This window comes from Homo sapiens, chromosome 13 (assembly GCF_000001405.40).
Source record: "Homo sapiens chromosome 13, GRCh38.p14 Primary Assembly".
Taxonomy (NCBI): Eukaryota; Metazoa; Chordata; class Mammalia; order Primates; family Hominidae; genus Homo; species Homo sapiens.
Genome location: NC_000013.11, coordinates 113,239,363 through 113,257,214, shown reverse-complemented (window position 1 = coordinate 113,257,214; position 17,852 = coordinate 113,239,363). Strand labels below are relative to the sequence as shown.

At 44.1% G+C, this 17,852-nt stretch overlaps 1 protein-coding gene across 9 annotated transcripts in view; it reads right to left on the bottom strand.

The window, feature by feature from the left end:
• CUL4A (cullin 4A) overlaps positions 1-17,852 on the bottom strand; it is a 58,916-nt gene that overhangs the window by 9,894 nt on the left and 31,170 nt on the right. For all 9 annotated transcript variants that reach the window (NM_001278513.3, NM_001278514.3, NM_001354938.2 and 6 more), the window contains exons 10-18: positions 17,664-17,782; positions 14,055-14,247; positions 12,701-12,805; positions 12,156-12,266; positions 11,978-12,063; positions 11,152-11,259; positions 4,020-4,133; positions 2,417-2,522; positions 2,090-2,262 (exon numbers count right to left, since the gene is read on the bottom strand). In NM_001278513.3, coding sequence (NP_001265442.1) covers positions 2,090-2,262; positions 2,417-2,522; positions 4,020-4,133; positions 11,152-11,259; positions 11,978-12,063; positions 12,156-12,266; positions 12,701-12,805; positions 14,055-14,247; positions 17,664-17,782 — 1,115 coding nt within the window. The remainder of the gene's footprint in view (positions 1-2,089; positions 2,263-2,416; positions 2,523-4,019; positions 4,134-11,151; positions 11,260-11,977; positions 12,064-12,155; positions 12,267-12,700; positions 12,806-14,054; positions 14,248-17,663; positions 17,783-17,852) is intronic.

Here is a 17,852-nt window from a genome sequence, read left to right as displayed (position 1 = left end):
GGTGGCTCACGCCTGTAATCTCAGCATTTTGGGAGGCCGAGATGGGTGACTCACCTGAGGTCAGGAGTTTGAGACCAGCCTGGCCAACATGGTGAAACCCCGTCTCTACTAAAAATAGAAAACTTAGTTGAGTGTGGTGGCACATGCCTGTAGTCCCAGCTACTCGAGAGGCTGAGACAGGAGAATCGCTTGAACCCGGAGGACGGAGGTTGCAGTGAGCGAGATTGTACCACTGCACTCCAGCCTGGACGACAGAGTGAAATGCAAAAAAAAAAAAAAAAAAAAAAACGAAAAAAAAAAAGGGACAAAGCATTAATATCCTTAATATATAAAGAAAACCTACTAATCAGTAAGAGAAAAAACATTATAATGAATGCATATGACTTGAAAAGCAATTAGAAAAAGAAAAATACAAATGGCTAAGCATAAAAAGAGCAGCATCAACATGTATGAAGTGCTTACAGGTGTGTGGCAAAGAGCTTTCTAAACGATTCATTTAATTCTCACAACTTGAGGTAGTAGTATGTCTATTTTAAATATGAGAAACTGAGCATTAGAAAGATTATATAATTTGTATAAACTACTGAGTGGTAGAAAGATGCTGTAAAGAATCAGAAATCAAAATGAAAACTGCAACAAACTATCTTTGGGCTGCTCAGAACAGGGTGAGCGAAGGACAGGTGGAGGTGGGGGCAGACACTGTGCTCTGGTGAAATCTGCCAGACTTCAACTTGGAAAAGAGCAAACTAAGACAAGTACACATTATTTTACCCAGCAGCTCCAGAGCAAGAATCACACTAAAGAAACAATCTAACAAGTGCACAGAAATGTCTGTGCCAGGGTGTTGAACGTAATCTTATTTTCAGGAGGGGCAGTGGAGGAATGTTAGTGCCTGTGGCCGAGGGCACTGCCAGCCCTGGTGGGTCTACACAACCGGCACTGTGCTCCTGCAACAAGTCCTGGCCAGGAGAAGACTGCGATCAGCAACGAAAACTGGCTACAGGAAGGCCCTGACAGGTGCCATATGTACAGTGATCCCAGGTGTTTTTTCTTTTGTAGAGTTTGGGGTCTCACTGCATTGCTCAGGCTGGCCTCAAACTCCCGGGATCAAGCGACCCTCCCGAGTAGCTGAGACTATGGGTGCATGTCACTGTGCCTGGCTTAGTGATCCCACTAAAAAAAAAGTTTACATACACTCACACCACAGAAAAAGGCTGTGACCACAAACAAAAAGGGCAGTAGTGGTTACCTTCGGGAGAAAGAACTGATAGACCTTCTCACTTTTGCCCACTATAAAAGGTGCACCCTCAAAGGAGTTAAAAACTTAAGTCCACATAAAAACCTGCACAGAAATGTTTATAGCAGCTTTAGTCATCATCACCAAAACTTGGAAACAACCAGATGTCCTTCAGTAGGTGAAGGGATAAGTTGTGATGCATCCAGACAACGGAGAATCCTTCAGTGCAAAAAGCAGAGTTACCCAGTCATGAAAAGACACGGTGAACCTCAAATACGTTCTAATAAATAAAGAAGCCAATCTGAAAAGGCTATATACACTATGACTCCAACTGTACGGCATTCAGGAAAGGGCAAAACTATGGTGACAGTAACAGGGTCAGGGGTTGCCAGGGGCTCGGAGGGAGACAGGGATACAGCGACAGAACATAAGAGAATTTTTAGGGCAATGAAACTGTCCTGTATGATCCTATAATGGTGGATACATAACATTATACATTTACCCAGACCCACAGAATGTACAACACCAAGAGTGAACCATATCAGATTCTATTACCATAGAAAGTGTGGATAATTTTCGAAACCCTATGACCATGGGGAGTTCTGGCTTAGCACACAACTTTTTTGTGAATAGGAATAACATTAAGTGGCTTTTTTTCTGATTTTCTTTCCTACTGAGAATGTGAAGTTAATGAAAGCGACAGGAAAATGAGTACTCTTATAAACATTACATAGTGAAATTGGATTATTGTAGAAATGTGCTTCAGGCCTCTAACAGCCAAAAACATTACTACAAAAACAAATGATTCCCTGCTAAACCCCCTATAAGTAAAAAGAGAAAGTTTATACATACAGTTTCCTTCATCTGAATTTGATTGATCTTTATTCTAAACAACTTGTGCTTGAACTCTCCATTAAAAATGAACTTGTCTCCATCTTCCACTTCCTTTCCTTTGGGACTTTTAATCAGCACACGTGCTTTGCCACAGGCCAGGGACTGCAGCGTTCTGCGCAATTCACTATCCTCTGAATGGGAAGCAAATGCAGGCAAAGGCTGGCGTTAAACGAATGAGACTCAACAACAGTAAACCAATCATGCTACCAAGTCTATGTCTTATCTTAAAACAAATACATGCTTTAAGAACAACTCATGGAGCTATGCACTCTGCAGTTTTCGTACCTATCCCCGTGGCCATTTTTATCTCCTCAAAGCTGAAGCCATCTCCCTCGTTGAACATGAGGAGCACCAGTGTCTGGAAGAGGGACACCTGGAATTCCTTCTTCCCCTGGAAGAGAAGGCCTCATCACACCTCTGAAGCTGTGCATGTACAATCTTTGAAAAATTAAAAGAAGCTTCTTTTTGCTCTCAAACTTTTTTTTTTTTGAGAAGGAGTCTCGCTCTGTCACCCAGGCTGGAGTGCAGTGGCACAATCTCAGCTCACTGCAAGCCCCACCTCCCGGAATCATGCCATTCTCCTGCCTCAGCCTCCCGAGTAGCTGGGACTACTGGTGCCTACCAAGCCCGGCTAATTTTTTGTATTTTTAGTAGAGATGGAGTTCCACTGTGTTAGCCAGGATGGTCTCGATCTCCTGACCTTGTGATCCACCCACCTCGGCCTCCCCAGGTACTGGGATTACAGTCCAGCTTTCTTTTATACGGGACTGACTGTAACGTAGGGGTGAATGCAATTTGGCCTTATATATCCCAGGATGATCTCCTTTTCTATTCAGGAGTTAGTGCTGCAGCAACTTGCCACATGCCTCCAGGTCAGACCCACGAGAGGCACATGAGAGTTTGGGTGACAGTTGGTGGCCCCCTCTGCGGACCCAGCCCAGACTCATCACAAGCCCATAACAAGCCCTTCCTGCACACCTGGAGAGAGCTGCAGTTGGTGGTGCTGGTACAGACCCTGTGGAGGTCAAGTTCAACTAAAGTCAGCAAGTAGGTAAAAAACTGGGGATAATAGAAATTAACTTTCCTAATACCTTAAGGAAGAGAATATATGGTTTCATGTATATGACTCTCTACAATAATAAAGTAGGTATGTATAACTTATTTGATAATGTACAGATAAGTTTATTATTAATATAACAGCTATACAAAATAGGAATTTTATGTTTTTGCTTAGTGTATATAATTGCCGTTTCATAAGCGCCTTTCATTGATCAGTGCATTGTATGCATTCTCCCCTCTTAAATAATCGCTCATAATAACAGCACTGCAACCACTATTCTCATTCATTAATCCGTGAAAATGTCTTATTAAGATGAGTTCCTAGAGTTGAAACTAAGGCAACAACTCGGCAGCAGGGTTGCCAAAGTTCACAATGCCAAACTGCCCTTCCAAAAGCTCACTACAGTTTATGCTTCTTCCAGTAGTGGGCAAGAGTCTGTTTTTTTTAATTTTTTTTTATTTTTTAGGCTTCATCAAATCTCTTAGTCAAAAAGTGGCATCTTACTGTATTTTACTTTGAAGCCCTCTGTTTAGCAGAGAAGTGTAATGCATCTTCACAGATATTTTTTTCAATTTTGCTTTTATGAGTTGCCTCTTCACATTCTCTGCTCTTTTTTTCAATAGGTAAATGGTTTTCTATGGATTGATTTCTTAAGAATTTTTATTGATTGGAATAATAACCCTTTAACTGTTACAAATTTTATTGACTTATAAAAGCTAGTGAATTAAAGTGAAACACTCCTTTTTTGCTACTAAAGTCCAGTAACAATAAAAAAATTATATTAACATATTTACAAATAATAAAAAATAAATGAAACAGACAACTTACTTCTTTAAACTCCGCTTTTAAAACAGCATGTCCCAAAGTAGTTTGCCACTGAAGTTTTCGACCACTGTGCTTTCCAAGATAAAATGCCTTAAATACTTCCTGAAGTTTAATCATCTGTTAAGCATAGGAGAACAACAAAATTATGCCACACACCATCCATCTCAATAGCTCCCCATTCAATGCACAGAGTTTTACAATTTCTCACGGCTGAATTAAAAGGTCAGCTCTATATTCTCACACTTTCTGGATTCCATTATTTGTAAAAACGTCCTCAATCCTTGAACTTTGGGGCTTCTCAGTGTCAACGAGATAATGCCTGAACTGGTGTTTCATGGTACAGACCAGCTGTATTCCGTGGTCTCTGTACATACCAGGGCTTGCTGGGGCCAGTGGCACAGAGTGAAGACTGGAGCCCGTCAAGAAAAAGGTGTCTGAGGCCAGATCCTGTGTCTCAGCCCGGCCATGCCCAGCCCTGGCCTCGGCTGGTGTTCCCGGCAATGAGCGGGGCTCCTGCTTCCTCATCTGTGAAGGGTGACACCACAACCCCTTGCGTTGCACTGTGCAGGGGCTGATGGCAAACACCTCCATCTGGGCCTGCACAGAAAGTGCAGCACGAGTTAGTTGTTTCTATGATTAGTTTCTGGGTGAATTTCTTTTCTTTTTTGGAACACAGGCTTGCTCTGTCAGCCAGGTTGTGGTGTGATCCTAGCTTACTGCAGGCTGGATCTCCCAGGTGCAAGTGATCCACCTGCCTCAGTGTCCTGAGCAGCTGGGACTACAGGTACATGACACCAAGCCCGTTGATTTTTGTTGTTGTTGTTGTTGTAGAGATGGGTCTTCTCATGCTGCCCAGGCTGGTCTTGAAATCCTGGGCCCAAGCGCTCCTCCTGCCTCGGCCTCCCAAAACGCTGGAATTAGACTGTGCCTGGCCTTGAGTGAATTTCTTACATTTTCCAAACTTTCTACTGATCCTTAAAATTGTGGTTGCTGCATTTTCAAGTTCCCAGCGTTCAGTGCACCAGCCTTTCCCATCGCCCGGATCCTGCTCGTGTTTTCCGGATGCCTCTCAGGGGCAGGCTGTGTGTGACTCTCCCATGCGCGGTGCTTTCCCTGACTTCTGCATGCCCTTCCTGGTCCGTCATACCCTCCACTCTTCAGCTTGATCCTGTCTGGTGTCCACTGCACCCGGGATCTCCGACACGTCTGTGCTGCGCACGCAAGGGCTCACCAGTTTCGCCTCAGGAGACCATCTCTGCACAGCCCAGGGCGTGGCCTCCCCCTGCTCTCGTCCACTCCACAAATGCCAATGCTCCGGGACTCAGCATCCACCTATACGTCTTGTATGGGTCCATTCTTTCACTGCTATAAAGAAATACCTGACACTGGGTAATTTATAAAGAAGGAAAGTTTAATTGGCTCACAGTTCTGCAGGCTGTACAAGTAGCTTGGCTGTGGAGGCCTCAGGAAACTTTTAATCATGGCAGAAGGTAAGGGGAAAAAAGCAGGCACGTCTTCACATGACGGGAGCAGGGAAGAGAGAGAAGGGGGAGGTGCTACATACTTTTAAACAACCAGATCTCATGAGAACTCACTCACTACCATGAGCACAGCAAGGGGGAAATCTGCCCCCATGATCCGGTCGCTTCCCACCCGGGCCCTCCCCCAGCAGTGGTGATTACAATTCAATATGAGATTTGGGCAGGAACACAAATCCAAACCAATCCCTCCTCTCCCACGAGCTCACCATTCCCTGTGTCTCTGGATGGCTTCTAAAGATCTTGGGACAAAGAAAGCGTGAAATTCTAACCTCTGATCTCACAGACCTGGCCTGTGCCCCTCCCATCCTCCAGGCCCAGTTCAGTCGATCATTCCACTGTCTTTCATACATTCTCATCCCCTCAGACTTTCACACACGTGGTTTCTTCTGCTGGATCCCATATCCCATCTCCCTCATGAAACCTACTCATTTCCAGAACCGCCTCCTCAGAGAGGTCTTCTCTGACACCCTCTTAGCTCTACCAGCATCTATAGCACAGTGTGAATGTGGACTCCGGACAGGGGCTCACAGGGCAGGGCCTCTGGCTCTCTGACTCCCCATTGCAGCACTGTACATGGCACCAGCAGGTGCTGCATAAATGCCTGCTGCTCTCTAGACTTGACGTGCCCTTTTAGTTTCTCTGTGTTTCTGTCTAAGCTGTGCCCTGTCAGAAATTCCTGCTGACCTCACATCTGCTTGGCAATCTCCTCTTCATGCTTCAAAACTCAGCCCAAGAGTCACCTTTCTATGAAACCACATGTATAAATCACCTGCTGCACCTACTCCCCATCTTCAATGACACCAAATCCCAGGCACGATATCATCGATTTCATTTCATTTGTAGGTATTTCTGTATCTCTAAAGGACAGGAACTCTTTTAGGAAATGTATCTACTATGCCATTACCATACCTAAATAAAAGTCAATAATGTGATAAGCCTCTTCTTTCTTTTTGCCTTGAGAAGTACCATGGTTTGTGATAAACCTCTTAGTGCATATCTTTCCTAAAAACCATCTCCTTGGGATTCATTCCTAGGACTGGATTGGTATTAATGAGGATAATTATCATCATAATGCTATCGTTTGGGTACTATGTGCTAGCTACCAGTCCAGGCCCAAAATGGGTCAAAGACTGAAACATATGAGCTAAAACTATAAAACTTTTGGGAGAATACATAGTGCTATTTTATTTTCTTTTTTTGAGACACGGTCTCGGATCTCACTCTGTTGCCCAGGATGGAGTACAGCGGCTCCATCACAGCTCACTGCAGCCTTAACCTCCCAGACTCAGGCAATCCTGCCACCTCAACCTCCTGAGTGGCTGGGTCTGTAGGCAGACACCACGACATGCGGCTAATCTGTCTATTTTTTGTAGAGACGGGGCTTTACCATGTCGTCTAGGCTGTTCCTAACTCCTGGGCTCAAGTGATCTTTGGCTTCCCAAAGTTCTGAGATTACAGGTGTGAGGCACTGCACCTGGCCTCGTCAATTTTTTGTGATCTTGATTTGGCAATGGTTTCTCAGACATGACACCAAAAGTTACAAAAGAGAAAATAAATGTGATTTTACCATAATTAAAAACTTTTGTAGAAGCACACTATCAAGAAAGTAAAAAGATAGCCCACAGAATGGGAGAAAATACTTGCAAATCACAGATCTGATAAGGGTCTAGCATTTGGAATATAAAGAGCTCTTATAGCTTAATAACAAAAGATAAACAGCCCGGTTAAAAACTAGGCAAAGCACGTGAACAGACATTTCTCCAAAGAAGATACGCAAATGGTCAATCAGGACATGAAAAGATGCTCAACATCAACAGTCATCAGGGAAATGCAAATCACGGCAAGATGAGAGACCAGCTCATATGGACAGGGATGGCTACAACGAAAGAGGCAGATCACAGGTGTAGGTGAGAAGGTGGGAAGCTCTCGTGATTGCTAACTGGAATAAAAGCTGCTGCAGCCACTGTGGGAAACAGTCCGGCAATTCCTCAGTAACTTAAACTTCAAGTTACTGCATGACCCAGCAGTTCCACTCCCAGGTATATACCCCAAAATAAGTGACCGCAGGTGTTCAAACTAAAACTTGTACACCCATGTTCATAGCAGCATTATTCACAGCGGCCAAAAGGTGGAAATAACCCAAATGCCCAATGTTTGGTGAATGGAGAAACCAGATGTGACCTATCGATACAATGTGATGTTATTCAGCCAGAAAAGGAATAAAGCACTGATGTATGGTGCAGCACGGATGGAATAAAGCGCTCATGTATGGTACAGCATGGATGGAATAAAGCGCTGATGTATGGCACAGCACGGATGGAATAAAGCGCTGATGTATGGCACAGCATGGATGGAATAAAGCGCTCATGTATGGTACAGCATGGATGGAATAAAGCGCTCATGTATGGTACAGCATGGATGGAATAAAGCGCTCATGTATGGTGCAGCACGGATGGACTTTGAAAACAGCACGCTAAGTGAAAGAAGCCAGACACAAAAGCTCACATATTGTGATTCCATTTCTGTGAACTATCTAATGTAGACAAATCCACAGAGACAGGAAGCAGATAGTGGCTGCCGGGGTCCGGAGCAGAGCAGGCTGGGGAGGAGCTGCTAATGGAATGATGGAAAAATTCTGGAATCGACAGGGGTGACAGCTCTGTAACACTGTAAATGTACCACTGGCCTTCTGTGTCCATGGGTTCCACAGCCATGGATTCAACCAATCTCAGGTCAAAAATATTCGAAAGCAAAAAAAGGATGGTTGTCTGTACTGAACATGCACTAAGTTTTTTTGTCAGTGATCCCCTAAAAGGCCAGGAAGAATCTGAACAGACAGGTCTGTTACTGTACTGTTAACAATACAGTGTAACAACTATTTACACAGCATTTGTTAGGTATTACAAATCATCTAGAGATTATTTACAGTATATGGGAGAGTATGCATAGGTTATCTAAGATCTCACACTTATATAAAATAACGGACTTGAGTGTGAATTTTAGTATCTGTGGGAGTCCTGGAACCAACAGCCCGTGGATACTGAGGAACAACTGCACTGGATGTTACTGAACCACACGCTTTAAAAAGGTAACTTGAATGTTAAAGTATATTTTACCACAATAAAAAAATACAGTATGGTAAGCTTCAAACAACTTTTGCTAGAAAACAAAAAAGTACTAAAAAAATGATGTAGGCATATCAAAGAGCAAAGGAACCAGTGTTAAGGGTGGCTCACAGACCACATATGGGACAATTTAAGCATCAAAATAAGTACATAAATTAAGAATCCCTGAGTTCATAATGATATAAAGAGAGAGAAATAAATAAGTAAATAAAGGGGGTGGAAAGAAGGGCTCTTCCTTAGAATGCCAACTTCTAAATATAGAGAAATGATAGAGCTGGAAAAAAATCCCCATTCACCAGGTAAAAATCAATTCAGCCAGGAATCGCCACACAGGTGACAGCTGGATGAGGATTAAGAGGTTTACGTAGTCTTGAAATGTCTCCTCACAGATTACTTAGTGATTACAAAAGGAAAAACACTAACGATACGGTGGAGAAACCAGCCAGCACCTTCACAGGAGGATCCTATCGAATGTCACCAAGACACTGGGGCACGTGATAGTGCGCACCTCCCGCCAGGATCCTGATGGGGACACGGGGCATCTGGCTGGACCTGCCCAACCTGAACCTACTCACAGGGAGCATCGAAGGCCGCCTGGGTCCTGGGCTCAGCTGGGTACCGGAAAAACACCACAAAGGACATATCTGAGACAACCAACAGAAATGGGGTGAAAGTATTACATCAGAATGAATGCCCTCATTTGACAGGTGCTTATGTTCTTGGGAAATAGCCACTAGAATATTAAGGGGAAAGGGAATGGTGCAGAAGCACAAACATCTGTGGAGACAGGAAGGGACAGCACCACGTGGCCAGCGTGGAAAGCAGGCTGCCTGGCTTTCTTTGAGCATCCCGCACATGTTCTCTAAGTCTGGCTAGGACGCCTCAGAAGCAAGCTCTCTCACTCACCTTCTCCCCCAAAGTTCTCCTGGAATGAGAACTCTTCTTCCCCAAGGCAGGCCAGAGAAAACTCAAACCCCTCTTGCCCAAAGCCAGCCATAAAGCCTGGAGATACTACTCGATGCTTCCCATGCCCTTTTGTGTAGGATCTGGATATTAAGAAGTTCTCTGAACTACCTTGCTGATAGTTAAGTCATAAGACTCTTGTTCCAGAGGTGTCCTGCCCTACACCTGGGAGGAAAGAACATTGCCCAGTGAGGCCAAGAAGAATCTGAACAGACAGGCCTTACTGGTTTCCCCGCTACTCTACTACTGTTAGATGGTACCCTTCTGTCCAGTCACATTGATAAGAGTTTGGGGGTCTGTCCCCTCTAAATCTCACGGTGAACTGTGATCTGCAGTGCTGGAGGTGGGGCCTGGTGGGAGGTGTTTGGGTCATGGGGGTGGATCCCTCATGAATGGCCTGGCGCCCTCCCTGTGGTAATGAGTTACCACGAGATCTGATTGTTAAGGAGTCTGGGACCTTCCCCCACCACCTGTTGCGCCCTCTCTCTCGCCTACTCCCCCTTTGCCTTCAACCTTGAGTAAAAGCTTCCTGGGACCTCATCAGAAGTTGCACAGACACAGGTGCCATGCTTGTATAGCCTGCAGAACCATGAGCCAATGAAAACTCTTTTCTTTACAAATTACCCAGCCCCAGGTATTCCTTTACAGCAATGCAAAACAGACTAACACACCTATTTCTACATGGCTGCCCATTCTTTATCAAACCTAAGCATAACAATGGACAGTCTTCCCTGGGTCTTTGGTCTTCATTTCTGAAGCCTGATGTGTTAAATAAAACTTTGATTAAATAAATTTGTTAAGGTTTTCTCCTCCTAATTTGTCTTTTGTTAAAGGAGCATTGGCCATGACCCTCATGATGGATAAGAAAAGGAATCACACTGTCCTACCACTGTAGCTGTGTGTCTTTCTTCCCTTCTCAGCTGACGAAATCATCATTCATCTTTACTTGATATCAGGCTTAAGGGACGCCTTTTCCAGGAAGTCTTCCATGATTGCAGGCTGGTCTCAGCCCTTTCCCTTCGCCTGGTATTAAATGAATGGTGCATGTATTGTATCTCCTGCTGATGTTAACTTCATTGAGCACAGAATTCTACCTCCGGCGTGCAAACCCTCCACTGAAGGGTTTAGTGTAGCTAAAGTAGTGGCTGACAAAGAAGGCCCTAAATAATGCCATTCCCAAGACTTCAGCACTGTCTACAATGGAAAGAAAGAACAACCAGACAAGAACCGCAGCTTAATAAGCCATAACTTCCAAAACAAGTGCCTGTGCTCATGGGCCCCCTGCAGGTCAGCAGGTGGACACAGGCTGCACTGGGAGGAGCCACAGAAGGTGACAAAAGTGGTCACTTTCTCAAGCACATTTCCAAAGACCATAAGAGCACTTTGATTTTGGACTGAGTGGGCTATTTTTAAAAACTCCCCATTCAACAATTCTTGAAGGCAACATATCTGTGCCTGGTAAGGGCATGACAGCGGGAGCGGACAGCATGCTTTCTGCACACTTACTTCTGGGGTTAAGTGCACTTCCATGGGCGTGTATGTTGGCCAGTAGCCCATTGTGAGTATGTTCACTGTGAGGTCTATAGGGCCTGAGTCACTCTGATTCTGCATATGCTAAAACAGAGAAATCCAAGACAATCATTTTGAGAAAGTAATAAAACATAATTAACCTAAAACAAAATAAACCGTGTAATTTTCAATATAAAGTTTCATCTGTGTTAGAATTTATCTCAGTCCCCAGAATGTATTCCATGAAACCCAATGCCTCACTAGGACTGCCTTTTTCCCTTCTTCAGGTGTCACCACCAGACTCACTGAAATAAAATTCTTGCCACACGTTTAGATCTTCTTTTTCTTCTTTTAAAATTTACTTGTGAAACGTTAATAGTGTAATTTTCTTCTTACATAGAGTGAGATTCATTCTATCTAATCTATTGAATCTACCTACCTTATCTATTTATCTATCTATGACAAGGTACTGCTATCTCTGTCTATGTATTATCTATCTATCCACCCATCCACGACAAGGTCTCACTCTGTTGCCCAGGCTGGAGCGCAGTGGTGCAGTCACGGCTCACTGCAGCCTCAAACTCCTGGGCTCAAGTGATCTTCTCACTTCAGCCCTACCCCAGTAGCTAGGACTACCTGTTCATTAAAAAAATTTTTCTTTTGTAGAGACTGGGTCTTGCTATGTTGATCAGGGTAGTTTTGAACTTCTGGCCTCAAGAACGTCTCTTGCCTCTGCCTCCCAAAGTGCTGGGATTACAGGCATGAGCCACCACACTAACAGATACTTTTTAAAAAGCCGCTTTACCTAAGAAACACAACTCACCTGCTTGAAATGAACCATGATGTCCTTCGAAAGCTCCATGTCCTTGAACATGCCTTCCAGCTTGCTGGTGAAGGCTGCACCGCACTCTGGACACAGCAAAGGAGGGAGTGAGATCGGGGTAACACACGGGGCAGCAACCCTCAGTTACAGGGGAGGAGCCCAGGCCCCACATACTTACCATGCTTGAGCTTTGACAACATAGACTTTTCAGCATCGACTGAGGCACTTTTCCCAACAAGGAGTCTTTTTGCCAAATCTTTTTTATAAAATGCTTCAAAGACATCTTTACCTATTTATAACCAGACGAGAATAATCAAGACATCAGAGAGTTGATAAGCAAATGTTAAACTTCAAACTTCAACTGCTGAAAACCCTTAAAAGTGTTTTTTTTTTTTTTTGAGACAGAGTCTTGCTCTGTTGCCCAGGCTGGAGTGCAGTGGCGCGATCTCGGCTCACTGCAAGCTCCGCCTCCCGCGTTCACGCCATTCTCTGCCTCAGCCTCCCAAGTAGGTGGGACTACAGGCGCCTGCCACCACGCCTGGCTAATGTTTTGTATTTTTAGTAGAGACGGGGTTTCACCATGTTAGCAAGGATGAAAAGTGTTCATTCTAATGCAAACTGGCTCTACTGATACTGACATTCTCATGCTAAACCTCCTCTGGGAAAGCAGGGCCTGTTTACACCTCTTGATTATGCAGCATTTTCTGAGTGCCCGAGTCTCACCGTGGATAAACCTGAACAGGATCATGATCTTGTCCAACGTCCGCTCCAGCTCCTCGTCTGTGGCTTCTTTGTTGCCTGCTCTTAACTTTGAATCCACATGCTTTGCTGTGAGCATAAACATATAGTAAATACTCTAAACTAGAAAAAGAGAGCATCTTCAATTTCTATTAGCAACATTGTACAGGAACATTCTGGAACCTTCCCAAAATGACTATATGACAAAAAAACAAATATCTGATTTTCTAAGGTAAGTACTTCTCAAGTCAAGTGAGAGTAAATACTTGCCAAAATTTTAATGAAGCCAGGACTGAATGTTTAAAGCAGGTTTAAATATCTTTCTTATCTTTAAATGCAATCTCTGAATTTCAAAATAAAATGACTTCAGCAAATACATGCTCAGGTTTCAGGACGTGACTGCCCCGGACGCTGGAGTGCCTATTTCTAGGATCTGGTGTCATGAATGCAGAGGAGACATTCTCAAAGAGAAAGACTTTCTCAGAGCATCCAAGGTGGCAACGCAGGGTGAAAGCATTTCTACTCGGGCTTCCTGTTTCTGAGGCTGCACAAGCCATCGTCAGGTGGCTTGGGAGGGAGGACCAAAGTCCCCATGTGATGGGAGAACCCAAGACTTCCAGAAGCCCAAACTCCCAAGAGCTCAACATCCCTTTGCTTTAGAGAAACCACAAATGATACAGAGGAACAAAAGCCAAAGTAAACTGCCTCCTGAATTCCTTCTGTTGCTGTTTTTGTTAGTTTTTTTCTTTTAAACATTTTGTAATGGAATATTCTGAACACACAGAAAAGCAGACAATTGCACAATGAGCTCCATGTTCCATCTTACATCTTCAGCAGTAATCAACAGTCAATCTAGTATCGTCGTATTTCAGCTCTCTTTGCCCCCTTTCTCCTTCGAATTAAAAAAAAAATTTTACTGACTAGAGAAAGCCTATGAATTCTGAAATATATTTTGATATTATTGTGAAAAAATTGTACAGCTTAAAAATAGTATTATCATTTGAGATCTCATCTGGTTTTATCCTATTTTAATATGGATTAGAGGATACAAAGATGGTGATCACCCCTCCCTTCTTTGGCGAAGTCAAGCATCATTTCTTTTCTAAATTCTTACCTCATCTTCCCTTATGGAAATGCCCTCCTCCACCCATGCATGCAGGTGTGTCGGTTTTTAAATTTGTGTCCTAATAAGACTTGATAAAAACGCTTTCCACACACCCCTTGAGCAGCTTGAACATTTTGGTTGATTTTGCCTTATTTTCCCATATTAAAAAATTGTCTAGAAATGGGTGAGACTGTCTCAAAAACAAACAAACAAAAAAAACAAATATTTTTCTACCGATCAGTTCTGCAGGCTTGTTGGGTCTCTTGTTGATGAACGTCTCAAAGGACTCCTTCATCAGGTTGACGAACCGCTCATTCTTCTGGAAGCAGACCTCGATCACGTGGTCCACCTTGTCCTTGAAGTCCAACAGGTCTTGGACCATGTCTTTGTCTTTCTCAGGATTGATTACGATCGCTGTTCCAAAAGTCTACAAAAGCAAATCAATACCAACTCAGCAACATGTTTACAATAGCAAACAGTATCTTCTCCTGCTATCATATAATCAGGATAGTTTAACATAAATTACTCTTAGTAGTAAATACTCAATAACTTTAAAAGTTTCACAAATTGAATTCACATTTCAAAAATTAAGTGAATACACTTTTTTTTGAGGCAGGCCCTCACTCTGCGGCCGAGGCTGGAGTGCGGTGGTGCAATCACGGTTCACTGCAGCCTCAACCTCCCAAGCTCAAGCAATCCTCCCACCTCAGCCTCCTGAGTAGCTGGTGCTACAGGCTCAGGCCACCACATCTGGCCCATCTTTTTAAAGTTTTGTAGAGACGGGGTCATGTTGCCCAGGCTGGTCTCGAACTCCTGGCCTCAAGCAATCCTCCCACTGTGATTTCCCAAAGTGCTGGGTTTACAGGCATGAGCCCCTGTGCTTGGTGTGAATATACAATTAAATACACAATTAATGCATTGGTCTTACGATTCTGTTTCTGAGAGAACTTACAAACGACTGGAAAATGTCCGTTGCTTTTTAAAGAATGTTTATGTGTAAGTTCCTCCAAGACAAGTTAATTCCTATTAATTCAATATACCTCTTGGGACTTCTTGGCTAGTTTTCCTTCTCCATCACTTCTAACCATGAAAAGCTCACTTTTTTAGTTTGTACTTTTTTTTTTTTGTTTTGAGATGGACTCTCGCTTTGTCACCAGGCTGGAGTGCAGTGGCGTGATCTCGGCTCACTGCAACCTCCGCCTCCCATGTAGCTGGGACTACAGGTGCACACCACCACGCCCAGCTAGAGACGGGGTTTCACCATGTTGGCCAGGATGGTCTTGATCTCTTGACTTCATGATCTGCCTGCCTTGGCCTCCCAAAGTGGTGGGATTACAAGCGTGAGCCACTGTGCCTAGCCTAGTTTGTATTTTTAATTTAAAACTGTTATATTAAACATTCCTAAAAGTCTGTGTAGGGCACTAATAAACAGTTAACATTTGATGATATAAACTATATATGCCGAAGAGGAACTGAATACAATGATTGGATTTAAAAAATTCGTCTCAATAGAATGCACATGTGCACTCACACATCACACACACACGCGAGGTAGCTGGCTGGTGGAAAGATGCCAAGAGAAGGCTGGGCGCAGTGGCTCACGCTTGTAATCCCAGCACTTTGGGAGGCTAAGGCGGGTGGATCACAAGGTCTGGAGTTCCAAGACCAGCTTGGACAATATGGTGAAACCCCATCTCTACTAAAAATACAAAAATTGGCCAGGTGTGGTGGCGGGAGCCTGTAATCCCAGCTACTCAGGAGGCTGAGGCAGGGAACTGCTTGAACCCAGGAGGCAGAGGTTGCAGTGAGCTGAGATCACGCCACTACACTCCAGCCTGGATGACAGAGTGAGACTCCACCTCAAAAAAAAAAAAAAAAAAAAAGATGCCAACAGAAAGGGCACAGACTCTCCCAGAGAGGGGCGGTGTGTGGCTAGCAGGTGTGGGAGGGACTTACCTCTTACTCTACACCCTTTGGTGCTAACTGCATTTTGAAATAATGCACATACACTACAAGGCCCAGCTTTATTTTGATAACGGCATGTGGAGTTGAATATAAACTACTATTTTGTTACAGTATAACTACTTATTGCTGACACTCAGGGGTGATGGTCACTCACTGATTTTTATTACCCAGACTGGAAACTGCAAAGGTGAACTTTTCCTAGTTTTTAGCACACATTCCCATCCCCTGAAGACTGTCTCACTGGCAAAAAACCTAAATCTTCAGTAGCTTTATGGCCAATTTAGTGTGACTCAGTTATAAGTTCCAATTCTATCATTGTACGAGACCTTGTGGGGAGGGGTGCTGTGAGTGCTGGCTTTCCACAGCTGGACTGATACATGACTTCAGGTCTGATTATTCCATAAAGCAGCATGTAAGCTTTATCTTTTTTATTTAACGGAAATCTTTATTCAGATAATGACAGATTTGCATAATAGTAAAAATAGCAAAGCAATCCCAGTGTCTTTATTTCCACAGTTTCCTCCAATGGCAACGGTTTGCGAAACTACACAACAGTGTCTCAGCTGGGGTACTGACATGGCAGCGCACCCGTCTTTTTCACATGGCCCAGTTTACTCGTAACTCATCTGGGTGTGCACATCTAGACCTCGGCCGAAACCCCGACTGTTCCCGCAGAAGGCTACCTCCTGGGGCCTTTTATAACCACACACCCTGCCCCATCCCTACACCCTGGTAACTTTTCATCTATCCTCCATTTCTAAATTTTGTCATTTCCAAAATGTTATGCAATAACACGTTAAGTATCTGTGATTGGCTTTTCTTTTTTTCCTCTTAGTGTAATTCTCTGGAAATTTTGTTTATCTTTTCATTATGGGATTTAAGAATAGTCACCAGCAAGCAAAAACACAGACTTTTGCTAAATGTTCACCATTTAAGCTGGAAAATTCATGCTAGGCAACTGGCACATCCTGAAAACACGAGCTATCTGTGAAGGGGCCCTGATGTCTGCCTCAGTTCTCCTGTTTCTGTGAGGGGCATCTGGAGAATGGCTTCTCATTAGAGGGTCTTCAGCAGGTTTCTTGGGCTGGGCAACTCTGGCCCTCTGGGCAGGTGATTCTTTGTGGTGAGGGCTGCCTTGTGCATTCAGCAGCACCCCTGGTGCTGCCCAGCAAAGCAAGCCGCACCCTCTCTGTTCAGACAGCCACAAATGTCTCCAGACATCAACAAATGTCCCCTTGGTGGGGTGGTGCCCTGGGCCGAGAGCCCCTAGTCTTCAGGGAGGTCCTATGTCAGCACCAAAGGGCCGTTCTCCTGCACAGGACATGTGAAAACTCAGGGTACTGCCCAAGAAGCCACTCTACGACGGGTTGGACTGGGCTTGTTAGGGATGCCAAAGAAATGCTTTCGAAACATGAAAGTGAAAGTTTAAGTAATAAATCCTAAATTTGGACCGTTAAGAAATAAAGTTTATAAAGCAAACTGATATGCCAAATATATAATAGTTCTCCCTGAGGAAAGGGCATGAGGAGATCATGTCTGACAAGCAGATTTACAAAAATGATTACTTTAGGAAAAATCATGATTTAGAATTAAACCAATATTTATGCTGATGAAGAAGAGCAAAACAGTTGTTCTTTAAGTTATACTTTCTACCTTGATGGTGCTAATCACTGCTGGTGTTATCCTAAAAAGCAAATTCACACTGGTGATTGGGAAGCAGATGGAAGCCTACTGTCCACCCTATCATCTGTGATGAAAATGCAGACGGGCCCTCCAGCAGCCCAGTTCCCTTTGCCAGGGCACACTAGGCGTTCTCAGGAGGGGCTCTGCTCCCTGCAGGGAATGCCCACGCCCGCGGCCTCAAAACCCCGCCAGTACCTTGATGTACTCGCTCCAGTGCTGCAGCAGCGCCTGCTGCCCGCCCCTCACCCGGCTGAACAGCTGGTACATCTGTGCGAGGTCCGGCACTCTGTTCTCATCCAGTAAGTGGTCGAGCCCTGAGATGTGCAGTACACGTCAGCAGAGTACAGCATGGGCAGCATTAACAACAACTCAACTAGAATACAG